Raw genomic sequence first — 16259 nt, 5'->3', positions numbered from 1 at the left:
ACTCATAATAGCCAAAAACTGAGTACAATGCAAATATCCACTAATAGTAGAAGAGATAAATAAATTGTGGTGTATTTCTACAAAAGACTGCCACAAATCAATGAGAATAAACAAACTACAACCACATACATGAATGAATCTTCTAAATATTACTGAGTGAAAGAAACCAGGCACTACACAGTACATACTGGGTGCTTCTATTCATCCAAAGTTCATATGTAGGTAAAAAGAATCTATAGCAATCAAGTAAGAATATTAATTACTCTTAGGAAGGATGATGACCATAAAAAGACTGAAGAGGGGCTCCTGGGTTGTTGGTGGTATTCCCTATTTTGATCTTGGAACCATTTATGGTATATTCACTTAGGGAGAATTCATCGAGCTGTACCATTATGACATATGCACTTTTTATTTGTGTAATACCTTAATTAAAATTTGCATTAAAAATGACCTGTTTGGGGAACTAAGAAAAAAGTATATTGGCAAGTCCCTCAGGAAGGATCCTAGTTCTGACTTAACTACTTTACACTTCTTCAGCTACACTGTGACTAAATCTTCACCATCAATGGGAGGTGCGAGGCGTAAATTCAATAACTATAATATCTACATTTGTTTGGGTAATTTCAGGGAATTTTTCAAGCTGGTGCATGTGTATAACCATAGCCAATGTCTGCTAATAGGGATGTTTAGGAAGAAGATAATTTTAGGTGCTTTTGATGAACAGATTGTGAATCCAGATGAGCTCTGTTGGATATTTATTCACAGCTCCCCAGAACATATGAAAACCAAGCTTTTTTGACCTCCTCAGGAACAGATAGACTTAAATTTTATTTATTCTCTTCCATTTTCCCCAGCAAGGCATTGTTCTAATAAAACATCAAGTCTAAATTTACTGAGTTAAATTTTGCATGAGTTTTCCCTTTCTAGATGACTTAAAATGTTTCGCTTAGAAAAAAAAAAGACTGTAAAATTATATCTGTTGTAAATAAAACAATATCATGTTTTTAAAAATGTGACAGCAAACTATAAACTGAAAAACCAACCGGCTTGCATAGTCAGAGATGCCATATGGAAATAACAAGTCAGTCAATCTGTCAACAAACATTTGTTGAGCATCTACTTTGAGCCAATCACCACTCCAGCACTGAAAATATAGAGGCAAGCTAAACAAATGTGATACCTGCCCTCATGGGGCTTGCTGTAGAATGTATGTATAGATTATATATATAGAGAGAGAGATAGATAGATAGATATCATTATACCCACCAGTTTGTGGGTATAATGTCAATATCTATTATATATCCTTATATTGGAGTTTTACATTTTATTTTAGTTTTCATTAAACACAACCATATGATCACTGTGTGATACCCAGATTCATTTTCTTTAAATGGAGCACGAACTTGCTAACACTTGCAAAGTGGTCTGAATGCAGAATACCTCCAGCTATTGATTATTTTCCACATTTTTTTCAGTTTTCTCTACTACATCCACTTTTTATAAATTAATGTCTCTTTATTGATCCTTCCCAAAGCATTTAGCTTAATTTTTATAGAACTGACAATTCTATTTCCTTCCATACTGCTATGTCAATGGTTTATAAACAAATATATTAAATTATTATAATAACCAATATAACTGGCATAAACAGGTTTGAAAAAGATACAGATGATACTTCTTAAGTATATAATTCGAATGGTGGGAGCAGATATTCATGGATGTACAATAGTCTCCCGTTACCTGAGGTTTTGCTTTGCACAGTTTCAGTTACCCATGGTCAACAGCAGTCCCAAAATATGACAGAGAGAGAGAGGGAGAGAGGCTACATTTATATAACTTTTATTACAGTATATTGTTATGATTATTCTATTTTATCACTAGCTATTGTTCTTAACCTCTTACTGTGCCTAATTTATAAGTTACATTTTATCATAGGTGTGTATGTATAGGGAAAGATAGTATTTAGAGAGAGTTTGGTACAATCTGTGGTTTTAAGCATTCACTTGGGTCTTGGAAGTATCTCCCATAGGTAAGCAGGGACTACTGAATAAAAATGTTGCCTGTGAACTCTGGATACTCAGCATCCTATAAGCACATTTTGGTTAACAGAAAGAATAAAGAGAAGTGATTAATCAGGTAAGTTGTTTAAGTAAATGTAGAGGCCAAGGGAGAAAGCTTCCCCTTTCACTTTCTGAAGGTTCACTGAAAATGAACTGACAAAAAGTGGACTAATAGCGAAAAAAAGGCATATACATTTATTTTAATGTACATATCACAGGAGAATTACAGGGCAATGGTTACTTAATAACCCAGTAGGGTACAGATGCTCATATATTCTTTTTCAGAGGGAAAGAGGAGATGGGGAAAATGTAGCAATTTGAGAAATGGAAAAACAATTTTTAGGGGAAATGAATGGCGTTAAAACTTAGACAATTATTAGTAAATATTTTTCTTTGAAAATTAAATGAGACAGAAAAGACAAAGGTTTGACACAAAGTTTGCCTGGGCTCCAGGTGTGGTGCTTAATTTTTAGCCTCTCTTCCTCTGTGATATAAGTTTTAATTTTCACTGGCTAATGAAATTTCAGGGAGGCAATCGTATTTCTCTTTGGCAAGTCTGGTTTCTACGTAGATCAGGGAACTTCAGAGAACAGTTTCATCCTGTGCTTTGGGAGAGTCAGAGGATTGAGAGATGGAGGGAAGTTGGAAAGGTCAGAGAGATCTTGAGGCTGCTTCAAGTTAAGCACGATATTTCGGAGTAAGGTTTTCTGATCCCCAATATAAAAGTGTAGGTTCAAAGAGCTACTAAAGCTGTAGTATCCAATAGGGAGCCACTAGCCATGTGTCGGCCTTGAGATTTTGAAATGTGGGTAGTCCATACTGAGATATGCTGTAAGTGTAAAACATATACTACATTTTTGCTACATCTTTGTTTGTAAAAAATGTAAAATACCTCTTTATTCCATGTTTATACTGAGTACGTTTTGAAATGTTAATATTTTAAATATATCGGGTTAAGTAAACATTTATATTGGGTTAAGTTAATATTATTTTTGTCTGTTTCTCTTACTCTTTTTAAAGTGGCTACTAAAAAATATAAAATGTGTGGCTCACATTTATTGTTCTCATATCTCTATTGGACACCGATGTTCTAATATGCGCATATATATATATTTATATTTCACTTATATATTCATGAAATAGGTGTATTTCTTTTACGAATAAGAAAACTGAGGAACGAAAGCATTAGGAAATGTGCTCAACATCACCGTGTAGAGAGCCAGGCTAGAAATCGGGCTATTATTCCCAACGCCGTCCTCTTAAATACTACCATGCGGCCTCCTGCTAGCACGTGCCACACACTAGCATGACAACTTTCATGTGTTCCACCAATAAAATGACAATTCTAAATAGTCATGTTCAAACTGGATCAATTGGAAAGACTTAAATAAAGGATCAATGTATAAAAATGTGGACAGAGTTTAGGGATAGAAGTAAGGGAAAATGTAATAAACTCAAGTTAGCAGCATCAGGGAGCCTAACTCCCCCTAGTGCTGAAAGGACAGAGTAGTTTCCAGAACAGAGAGGTCACCCAGAGGGATACAGCTAACAGATGGTAACAGCAAAACGGTGCCAGGGGAACATATATCCAGTCTTCATTCTCCTGCCTCTCATCTGCTAGTGTCTTCTATTGATCAAAGCCAACAGGAAGCCAGAGGGCAAGGGCATCATTAAGCAAGCTAAATGGATCAGCTCCACAGACCACAGAGCAGGGTGGAAAGAGGGTGAAGGGTAAATCTAAGCAGACAAATGAAAGATATTTAGCATTCTATCAAAATAAATTATGAGCTTATTTCTAACCATAAACTCCTATGTCGGATGGGTGTACTTCAGTGCAACAAAAGACAATCAGAAATGTTACTGCATGTAAATTTCATGAATACTCAAAGGAAACTACTTTTTTAAGGGAGAGATAATGAATATAATGTGGCAATAGCTAAAATCATTAGGCTGAAAAATAGGAATATATCAGTTTTGAACTCAGATCCACAGCTCAATAAAATCTTCTGTTTTATATATTAAAGATTAATTTTACAAAGCAAAAAAAAAATGTTACCCCAACTATCTATTGGGATTATGGTAGGGAATTCACTGCTTGAAAGGTATAAAACTGTGAAGTACTACAGAATGTAAGACATGCTAGTTAGAGCTAGAGGTCTTTAAGAACAGAAAGTAAACAGTCCAACCTCTGATCTAAACTCTGACATGACCAAAGCTCTCCTGAGTGTTGCTGCAGATTCATGGGATATCATGTTCTCATCTCCATCCTCGTCCCACCCCAGGTTCTAGGCTTCTGCTTCTGCTGAATTGGAGTTACGAATTGTCTCATTGACCAACATTCACTTCTTCTGTGCTACAATGTGAAACAAAACATCTTTCTCAATTTCCATTAAAAACATTCAGTGCCACTCAGAAAATTGTGGGTGAAATAGGCCTGATTTTTGAAAGGAGAAAGTGTTTATGCTAGAAAGCCAAATATAGTTGTAATCGATTTTGTAACTTTGGGCACGTTATTAACATCTTTATCTCTCAGTGACTTCATCTATGAACATAAGCTGGTTAAAAGATTTTCACAATTTTTGAGTGTTTTTTGGTCTAAAAATAAAAATAATATATAACAGTATAATAATTTACAAGATAACGATATAATCACTAGTTTGATCAAACATTTTCACTTCTTAGTGGTTATGTTCATGTTACACAGCCACAATAATAAATTTACTCAACAATTAAATTCTCTTACATTTATTAAGAAGGTAAACCAAAAAGTTTATAAAACCTTAATACGACTTCCAAATCATTCCAATACTAAAACCAGACCTTTCTTCTAAATCCTAAATAGGATTATGCCAGTAAGTTTCTAACTACAGAATATCTCAACAGCACTCTCACATGCAAGATCAAGTTTAAACTCCCTAATGTGAAACTTCCTGTTTACCTTTCCAGCACTCCTCCTCTTCATCACCTTCTACCAATATCTTCAGCACTTATTCTGCTCTCCAGTGGTACCCATTTGAGGGATGCTTCCTCCCACAAACCCGCATGTATCCACTACTTCCCCCATCACCACCATCAAGGCTGAGATTATTTGTCCAGTATATGTTTTTCTCTAGTCAGTCCAAAATAACTCCATACAACTTACTATACTATATTACTGTTAGCTGTTTACTTATTTCTCTCCCCACTATACTTTTAAGAAATTTCAGGACAGAAATTCTTTCTTAATCATTGTCTTTTATGAATCATTTATCTTCTTTATGTCTCTAATACCTAGCAAATAAATGAAATAAAAAACTAGACATTGAAAGGAAAAGTCATTTGTAGTATATATGAAAGTTGGCCAAACTGATTAAATAGGTAACAAAAGAAAAAAATCCAAAATGAAAGATTAATTGATAGCAAAACCGAGGTAGAGAGCTATTCTTTAGGCACAGAGGTGTGTTAGTGAAACCTAACAAAGCTGTTTAAATTTAGGATGAAAATTAAGAAGCAAAGTACAAGAAATTTTGAAAACAATGAAGCTGTCTCAAGAATAGTGTCCTACTAAGTATAATTCAATATTTCTGTCAAACTCTTCTTTTGTCAGAGTGACAAAAATAATTTTTATGTTCAGAGAGTCAGTATCTGTTTTTTTTTCATTAAACACACACTAAAGCAGTTATTACATATCAATTTAAAATGAATACTTTCTCTATGCCCACATATTTAAGGTACCCCAAGGGCCACTTATAAATGCATAATTGTTCTTGGAGAGTATTATTTACCTTATCCTACCATCAATAAAGTTAATTTGTAAAATTTGCACAGCAAGTTGATATTTAAAGGTCTCTGTTAAAGAATAATTGTACCAGGTGGATTTAAACTGCAAGGAATACTTGAAAGGAGGAACTCAACTCTCTTGAAACAAAAGGTGAAAGAGTTTTTAGGTGCTGAGATGACTAATAAAGAAATACTGAAAGAGGTTGAGTGGGGTGGGGAAGGGTGGTTAGTCAATGCAATGAGATCATCTGTATTTGCTAATTGGTGCTTATGGAAGCTAAGCCCCTACTCCCCCACAGAAATTGGGAGAAAAGGGCACTATGGCCTTCAGTGATTACATTTCAAAGAGGTGGCTCCCAGGTCCTTGAGAAGGACATTTCTGGGTTGCAGAAGATGTACCTCTCAAAGGGACAGATACAAATTTACAATGAAGTGGTTTCTAAAGTGAATGCTCTAAGAAAAGTGAGGTCAGGAACCTACAGTTAGAAAGAAATCTCTCTAAAGTTTAGTCAAGCTTAGGGGAACTTCAAGGCCATATTGACTACCTCAAAATTATGGCTGTCACACCTCAAAATCCCTCCCAAGGGAAGAGGAATATGAACTACCTCATTCCATGTCAGCTTATTTGTCTTTGCCCTATTCTCTCCCCCATAAAATGCAGGTGTCAGTAGGAAAAAAAACACACAAAATACTCATCTTCCAATATCTCTACAGATAGATAATTTTCAAACTAGGGCATAATATTGCCTGATTCATGGATAAAATAGATGTTTGCTAGAAAGCAACTTTTCTTCTTCTATCAAATATGTATGCGTTAATACTCAGAATCACAAATATTGACTGAGTGCCTCCCATAGCTGAATCTTTTACTTAGAACAATGCTAACTACTAAAGTGTGCTAGAAAAATATGATTATACTCACTTCTCCTATGAGGACAATGCAGTTGGGAAAGTGCTTAGTCCCATTACAGATACAATTGATGTCAATCATGTTCTTGTATTACCAGATTCTAATGCATTATGAGTTTTTGAAGAAACTTATATTCTAAGCAGCAAGACCAGTTTCTTTTTTTCTAAATTGAAACTGGTTTAGTACCAGTATTTTTCTATTTACAAGGAGACTAATTGGAAGATATATATGTATGTATTCTTCCCAAGACCCACTGGCAGGTAAGTGGCTATCATTTGTTCAATCAAAAGTTGTATTTTTCATAATTTTTTAAATGATAAACTATTTAGAAATAAATTTAATAAAAATAAGCAAAATTTTAATGAGGAAAGCCATACAACACTCCTGAAAGAACAATTGATCTGAATAAATAGATATCCTTTATGTTTGGTTGAGAAAGCTCAACATAATCAAGATGTTAGCCCTTCCTAAGTTTAATTTATCTGTAAAGGAATTTCAACAAAAATACCAAGAAGCTTTTTTAATGAAGCTAGAAGATTTGACACACAGTGAGAGCCAAAAACCACTGAAAAAGAAAAGATATGGGGTAGAGATGGGGAACTAGTCCCAGAAGACACGAAAACAAACTAGAAAGATGCTATAATTAAAAGAGTGTTCTGGCACACGGAAAGACAGAGAGACTAATGAAAAAGATTAGAAAGACCAGAAATAGATAAAACTACTCATAGAAATCGAGTGAAGGTGGAATCATAAATCAATGGAGTAAAGTTCTGCTTTCTGTGTGTTTGTTAAAGTAAATGATTTTGGTTAAACTGTTCAGCTATTGTGAAAAAGATAAAATTAAATCATTTCTTCTTAGCATACACACAAATAAACTCCAAACATATAACCATGTATATGTGGTTATATACATAGATGCTGTTATATATATGTACATATGTACATACACACATATGTATATAATTTAAGTGTTAGAAGAAAATTAGAGTGAATTTCTTTTTAATCTGCATAGAAGGAAAAGTTTTATAGCTATGACTAAAATGCCAGATGTAAAAAAATAAAGATTAATACATTTTACATGATTAAAAAAAGCCAATTCATGGTTTTAAAAAATCCTAAACAATGTCAAAAGGCAGATGACAAAATAAGAGAAAATATTTGCCACATATATTATAGAAAAAGCACTAATACCACTAATGTACAAAGAACTTTTTACAACTGAGAGGAAAAACCCAAGAATCCTATTGTAATAAAATAGCTAAAATTAAAGACAGTTTTTAAAAGTATAAAAACAACCTTAAACATAAAATGTTGTCCAGTTTCACTCATAGTAAGGGAAATGTGGAATGAAAACACACAGAGTTACAATGTTTCACCTGTGAGATGGGCAAAATCTCTAATAATTGATAATACACGTTTCAACAAGGCTTTGGGCAAAGAGCATCCCCACAGGCACATTGCTAGTGAGGATGCAATTAAGCCAGTTCCAGTGGAGGAGAATTTAGCAAAATCTGAGAAAATTATACACGCATTTATCCTCCAATTCAGTAATTCTGCTTTCAGGGATGTACCCTTTTGATACACCTCCAACATTATTAAAAATTCAAATGGGCAAGGTTATTCACTGTATAACTGCAAAATAATGGAAGCTACCTAAATATCTAAGCATAAGAAATTGGTAAATACAGAGTGGTATGTACACAATGGCATAATATGATGCTGATAAAACAAAATTAGAAAGATAAAATAAAAAGGGGACCTCTATAATTGATAGGGATTGATTTCCAGGTGATAGTATTGGTAAGAGGAAAAAGCAAAGTACAAGTAATTATATATGTATATACACATATATATGTGTATATGTATATATATACACACACAGACATATATACATACATATATGTATATATATGGTTATACCTTCATGTAAAAAAGGGAAAAATTAAAACTCTACATATATCTGCTTATCATTTCAAAAAGAAACAGAAAGCACATCAGTAAACAAATAAATTTGTTACTTCAACAGATTGGAGGGAAGGTGATGGGATGGAAAACACATGAGAGAGAGAGTGACCCCTCTCTGAATATAACTTTGTATTTTCTGACTTTGGGAACATGTTAACATGGTACATATTCAAAAAATAAAGTATTGCCCTTTAAGGCTCAATTATAGTATCTGCTAGGTGGCAACACCTTTTAGCAACACCTACTGGCTCAGTGGCAACACTGATAACACATTTGTGTGGTGTGAAGTCAACGTAGGACCTTGCTATGTCCACAGGAAGTTTCTAAATGAGTGACCAATATATTGCACTGCTTCTTTCACAGTAAAGGTTTGGTCTGGGTGTCAAGGGGTAGAAATGAGAATTTCTTTTGTGTCACTATTTATCCACTGTCAAAATTTGGCTTCCCATTCAGCAACTTTGGGTTCTGTTGGTCTTGAAGTATTGGTTCCCAAGAAAAAACACTTACACAGGACACCCAACAGTCGCTCCATTATGCTGGGAGCTGAGACTGCCACATGTCCAATTTGGCTGCTTGTGTTACTGAATCAAAAGGCAAAGAAGGGGGTTATTTATTATGTCTAGAGTGGTTGGTCTGATTATTAAGTGGTAATTGGGTTGAATTTACACAACGAGGATAAGAAGATATATATTTGGAATGCAAGAGATGCCAGGGAAGTTCTTAGTATTCCAACAGTTTGTGATTTAAGTCAGAGGAAAAGCAGAACAACCCAATACCAAAAGGATTTTTGAACAATGAAAACTTGGCTAACTCCATCCATCAAAAACCATAACCCAAAGAGAAGCTTGCTGAGAATAGAAAGAATATGGAATGGGTTGTGGGAAAAGGTAGTTATCAACACCAACTACAGCCACTTGTCCAGCCACAGACAAGGACTCTAATAGTTATAACTATTTATTTGATATATTTGTGCATATACTATTTTTATTCTTTTCCTTTCTGTCATTCCCTTGTCATCTAAAATATTATGTGTCATAGTAATTCATCTTATATTTATTATGAAAGTCCCAGGATGTCAAAAGGGAGATGTCACCCTTCTAGAAAAGAAATTAACATGGCTCAAAGGTGGTTAGTTTGAATATTGTATGGAGAGTTTTGCATATATTTTTGCCATAGAAGTGGTAGCTACATTAATTTATGCAAAATGAGATATTCTTTTACTATAGTTCTATATGAAGTTATATATAAATATTATATATACATAAAAATATATATGGATGCCAAGTTGACAAGTCATAAATTGTGGTAGATTTGTATTGTGTCATGTTAGCTAAGTTGGGACTATATTTCTCAGAATTCCCTTCCATATGTGGTTGGAGTTCGTGTGAGTCACAAAGACTTTCCCACCAGAATGAGAAGGCGGCAGTAAAAGCAGCTATATTCTTTTTACGCTTGGGAGGTCAGCTCAGGGCCTGACACTGTTGCAGATCATGCCTGTTGTCACTTACGTACTGCTCCTGATTGACATGGGGGCAGTAACTAGGGCAACGCTCCTCCCGGTTCTGAAGATCCTCTGCTTCAGCTTTTCCAGGCCTGTGTCCAGTAGAAGTTTAGCTTCGTGATGAAGGACACCAATGCAGGCCACCCTGTCATGGATCTAGATTCTATTCCATCTATATGGATTACCACTCAGCCTCACAGGTGTTAGATTTTCCGTGTTTTCACCATTTTATATCTTTCTTGCCTTTTTTACAGCCTGGCCTGTGAACTTCAGCATAGAGCAGCTAACAGAAATATCAGCCTTCAAATAGATAATTTAATCAGTCCCCACAATTATATAAGTCCAAATCCTAATATATAGTGGCTCTGCATTGTTGATCAAATTATACTGATAGAGTCACCTGCATAAGTTACAAGGAAATAGGTTGGAGGATATTTAGAAAGGAGCACTTTTCTGAGTATATTTTTCATGCAGTTTTGGTGATGGGAGCATGTAAATATTCTATATGTTTGAAAAATAAAATTAAATCAACAAGGATGGAAAGGAGAGAAGAAAAAGTAAAATTGAAAGCAAACAGAAGCAAGTAAGCTCAACTGTGCTTCAAATTAAAATTATAATACTACTGAAGGGGAAAAGGAAAGCAACAATTCAAGTTATATATGAACACAAAATTTAACTGTGTGCTTTGTCTTGGGCCATGTTGAAGGGAACACTTTTTAGCAGATTGGGGTATTTTTTGAAGTAGGAATATGTACAGATCAATTTTGAAACACTTTAGGTATTTTATAACATTGTCAAATGTGGATTCTCACTGTGAAAGAGAAACACACAAATATGGAAGAAGGAAGGCAGAAAAGAAACCTGCAGAGATGGATGGAAATTGACAATATTGGTGGAAACATATTTGTAAAATACGTATATGCATGCATATGTTCATAGGTATGTATGTATGGGTATATGTAGGTGCAGCTGCATATGTGTCTATGTATATATATGTATTATTTCTTAACTCTGTCTGCTAAAAGGTTCTAGAAAAAATTCTAAATGAACATACCTTACACCAAAGTCTTTATTTCTAGTACCATCTACACTAATTATAACCTAGGCTATTTAAGTAAATAAATAGCTGATTCCAGAGCTGGAAAAGAGTAGACATAAGAGAATCCTAGAACATGTTATGCCAAAAAGTACACAAAAAGTTAATGAGGGCATGTAACAAGAATTCAGAAGCCAGCTTGAAGGGTAATTTGAGTACCCAAAGGATTCAGTATAGTAATGAAATATTAACCATTGAAAATAAATTCTATGTCCATGTTGCTAATAAATGGTGAAATAAGTGGTAGAGAATGGCAAGTCTCTTGGTGAACGTGGAGGGAGTTTTGGAGGTGGAAAATAAATAAGCACTTTGCAATGATCACAGTAAAGACTGATAGTAGCATGAATCTATTGTTGTTACATTTTGATGAGGAGCAGGGTATTTGTACCATCAGGCATCACTTAATGACAGGAATACATTCTGAGAAATGCATCTTGGGCAATTTTGTTGTATGAATATCACAGAGTGTACTTACACACATTTAGATGGTATAGCCTACTACACACCTGGCCTGTATGGTAGAGCCTACTTATCCTAGGCTACAAATCTGTGCAGTATATTACTGTCTGAATACTGTAGGCATTTGTAACACAATGGTAAGTATTTCTGTATCTAAACATAGAAAAGGTACAGTCAAAGGATGGTATTATAATATAGAACCCTGTTAGTATATGCAATCCATTATTGACTGAAATGTCATTAGACCATCCATGGCTGTATTATCTTGAAGTATCTATATCAGACTTACTGGTTGCAAGAGAAAAAGTTTTAATTATCAGTGAAGAAATCAACAACTCTTTGACAAGGTAATTAAAATTAAAATCAGCAATGAAGAGCAGATGGGTATCTAGTATCTGGTAGACATCTCCAGATGTGAAAGCTAAGAATGACACAGACTTACATGGTGTTGTGTCTGGAAACGCATAACCTGAGATGAATATGAGGACTCATCAGAGAAACACGAAATAACACTTTTAATATTTTTAAAAGATGTTTTTCAAAAATATTGTCAAAAAATACAAAGGAAGACTATGTGAATGTTCCGTATAAATTGAGTCTAAAGATAAATGACAACTAACCACAATATCTCTTCCTAGACTGGATCCTGTACTGGAGAAGGTGAAATGCTATTTAGGGCACTATTGAATCAACTGGCAAAACTGGGATGTAGATGTTAAATGAGTTAAAAGTGTTATTTCACTGATAAATTTACTGAATTTAGAATTGCACTTAGGTTATGCAGAGAATTAATAAAGGCAATTTCTTCTCTAATAATTCACAAAAATATTGTGTATATAAATACACACACATACATCTACACTTATACACACATACACATACACACATGGATATGGGACACAAATGACCAAGAAAATGAGTTGAAATAGTAACAATAGTTGAACCTGGTACTATTTGTACTATGTTCATTCTTACATGTTTGTAACTTTATAAAAATCTTTCTAAATTAAAAGGTTTTTTTTTTTAAAGCATACTTGAAACTATGCCATGGTAGTTGTCTGAACAAAAGCTGAAATGTCCTTAACTCAATGGCATAAATCTTATCTCAACAGATGAGTACACAGGAAGCTTCTTTAACTTATTGTCCTAAGAAATGGAGAATTGTAAGAATTATACATAATGAAAGCTGGATAAGCTATTTTCTGTTTGTGATCAAGCATGTATTAGAACAGTTTTCTTTTTCGTCTTTTTTTTTTTCTTGGGAGACCTGAGCCTGAAGTATGCAGAAGTTAATGAGTAGTTTTTTCACAAATGTTGACTGTTTTTTTTCCTTTTATACTAGAATTCCAGCAAGTTTCCTGAATGGATTCCCATTCACTGCTCTTGGTAAGAATGTCTTGAATGAGTTAGTGCAGAGCCATAGTCTAAGATGATCTCAGAATTCTTTTCATTCCGTGCTTGAGGAGAATACATCAAATTCTGTTTGGAAGTCATTTTCCACTAAGAGTGGATTTTGAAATAAACTGAGTTGTTTCTAGATAAATGGTTGTTTAGAAGAGGCAATGACTCAGTGCTTGAAATGGCCAGCCAAGATTCACAGTGACTAAAACTATTTAAGAATAGGGCATTGCCTCAGAAAAGCTGCATGGTTAATGACAAACAGCTCATCTTAAAATTCTTTATTTTTCACTTTGCCATATTAGGAGCTATCTGAATGTGGATTAAACAACGTTTAATTTTTCTGAATATCCACAAGAAATAAAATAATTCTTGCCTGCTTTTAAATGAAAACTAACTTTGGACAAACTTGCTGTATTTTAGTTAAGCTGTGGAATCCATGTGGCCAGACCTATGATTGCTGTTTTTCTTCTCTTTGGCCAGGACTTGGGAGAGCTCTGGTAAGAGACAGGGAAACCTTTCCTTTCCCCTTCCCAGGGACTCAGTAAATATGCAGGCACCACAGCCAGGGTATTCATTGATCAGATGTACATCCCTCCTCCACAACAGACAAATTGATCACTCTGGATCACCAAGAAGATCTACGTTGTTTACATAATAACAATAGTGGGGTTTATTACAGTGTAATATTGTAATGACTTTTTGTCCAGGAAACTTGTGAACATCCCATTTTTATCCACAAACTGTTATTCTTTCCTGCAAGGTCCCCAAGGGAAGTATACACACAATATAATTAAAACACAACAAAGAAGCATTCTACTGTGCGTTTACCATACACTCTAAAGTGGAATTTCAAGACACTAAGCGAAAGCATACTTTATTTTAAATGTTAGATATGCTGGTATGTTTTGTACAATCAAATACTTATGAGACCTGTTCTCTCCATTTGTCCTAGTGAGGCAGGAAATTAAAGAAAAATAAAATTAAAAAGAGAAATAAGTTTTCCTGTATTAGGCTAACTTGTCCCAGGCAGCAACAGGCACAGCCCAGACCCAGGAAAATTCTTGCTAATATTATCTAATGTGCTCTGGAGGCTCTCCCAGCATTCCCTCAACATACGGAGAAGAAAAACCAAATTTTCCTTTATTTTATGGAATGAGTTTATAGATTCCTGTTCTCTGTAACTAGTGACTTCAAGTATTGTTTTATCTAAGAAGTACAACGAAGGTCATGAGAAGCCTGAGTAGGCCTGAACTACAGCTGCCTGGGCACCATAGTGAAGGTTATGGGATAAGCCCGTGCCTAGGCAAACCTAGATAACGGACATCTGGGTTGCATAGCAATGGTTATGTGCAATCCTACGTTATACACCTGTTACAATTTGATTAACTGTCTTTGTCCTGCCTCTGTATCCCTGCTTTCACACCACTGTAAGCTTGCTTCAAGCTAGCCGACCCCCTTTTCTAAAGTGTATATAAAAGTCAAGTGCTGTCTTTGTTCTGGGCCCAGTCTTTGGACGTGAGTCTGCTGGGCCTGAGTGCACTCAATAAAAGGTTCTCCTGTTTTAACCCGAGACCTCTCTTGTCCTCCTGGATCCCGCAACAATAGAGCCAAAATCTTGGTCGTTGAATTTTCTCCTTTAATGGGACAAAGTCTTCAGGGGCCACCACTTCTCAAACTTGCATAGAAACTGCTCTGTTTTTGGCCTATACAGACTTGATTCCACCATCTATAAAACGTAATTTAAAAGTAGTCTCAAATCTGACCAACTTATATAATTTTTCCTTGTCTTTGAGCATGGAGTAAAATGTGATTCAGGGCCAGGCATGGTAGTTTATGCCTGTAATCCTAGTACTTTGGGAGGCTGAGGTGTGTGGATCACCTGAGGTCAGGAGTTCGAGACCAGCATGGCCAACATGGTGAAACCCCATCTCTACTAAAAAATACAAAAATTAGCTAGGCATGGTGGCAGGTGCCTGTAATTCCAGCTACTCAGGAGGCTGAGGCAGGAGAATCGCTTGAACCCAGGAGGCGGAGGTTGCCGTGAGCCAAGATCAGGCCATTGCACTCCAGCCTGGGCAACAGAGTGAGACTCCGTCTCAAAAAAATATATATATATTTCAAAAGGACTTCCTTCTTCTGGTGATCAACCAAGCAGGTATTGTAAGAAAACAGTTATTTGTGACTATGCATAAATTTAGACACAGAGTATGCCAGACAGATGCAAACCTGTGTTCTACAGGCATTATAGTCTATATGGTCTTGGATCTCTACTTTGGAGAGAGTTCTGGATTCAAATGTTGGCTCCATTATTTAACTCCAGGCGAATCTCAGCAATTGTTTTAAACCTAATTTTCATAACTAAAATATGAATAATAATAAAGTTGATTTCAAAGGGTTATTATGAGGCTCATTCTATGTAACAGACATCTACTGCATACCAGGCACTACTCTGAACATAATGGATTCAATAATGAATAAGATTTAACTCTTTACCTTGCGACAATACATGTGAGGCAAACATTCATGTGAAATATAGATACATTTATGTAGCATAATAAGCACCATGATGCTGGTATTCATAGGGCAATGGGTGCATAGAAGAGAAACACTGAGCCCAACTTAGAGACTCAACAAACACTAAATAAAGAAGAGGATTGCTGGCCGGGCGCCGTAGCTCATGCCCATAATCCCAGCACTTTGGGAGGCCGAGGTGGGCGAATCATGAGGTCAGGAGATTGAGACCATCCTGGCTAACACGGTGAAACCCTGTCTCTACTAAAAAAATTTTAAAAAATTAGCCGGGCGTGGTGGCGGACGCCTGTAGTCCCAGCTACTCTGGAGGTTGAGGCAGGAGAATGTCGTGAACCTGGAGGTGGAGCTTGCAGTGAGCCAAGATCGCGCTACTGCATTCTCCAGCCTAGGTGACAGAGTGAGACTCCATCTCAAAAAAAAAGAAAAAGAAGAGGATTGCTATCCTGAGTCGTGACAGATTTGTGGGAATTACACAGGAGAAGAAAGTGAAATATGTATTCAGATGTTAAGCAGGAAGACAACAATAATACATTCAGAGAACACCTAGGAACAAAATATATATGGCAAAGATTAAAA

The 16259-nt window shown here is 35.5% G+C and overlaps 1 long non-coding RNA gene across 1 annotated transcript in view; it reads left to right on the top strand.

The window, feature by feature from the left end:
- The window catches only part of LOC105372044 (uncharacterized), a 74947-nt gene extending 60355 nt beyond the window's left edge, over window positions 1–14592 (top strand). The window contains exons 4-5 of the long non-coding RNA XR_935327.3: window positions 13093–13136; window positions 13632–14592. This is a non-coding gene — a long non-coding RNA (uncharacterized LOC105372044). The remainder of the gene's footprint in view (window positions 1–13092; window positions 13137–13631) is intronic.
- Window positions 14593–16259: the final 1667 nt, after the last annotated feature.

Source organism: Homo sapiens, chromosome 18 (assembly GCF_000001405.40).
Source record: "Homo sapiens chromosome 18, GRCh38.p14 Primary Assembly".
NCBI classification, from domain to species: Eukaryota; Metazoa; Chordata; class Mammalia; order Primates; family Hominidae; genus Homo; species Homo sapiens.
Note: the sequence above shows the minus strand (reverse complement) of the source record. Positions and strands in the feature narration are given on the sequence as shown.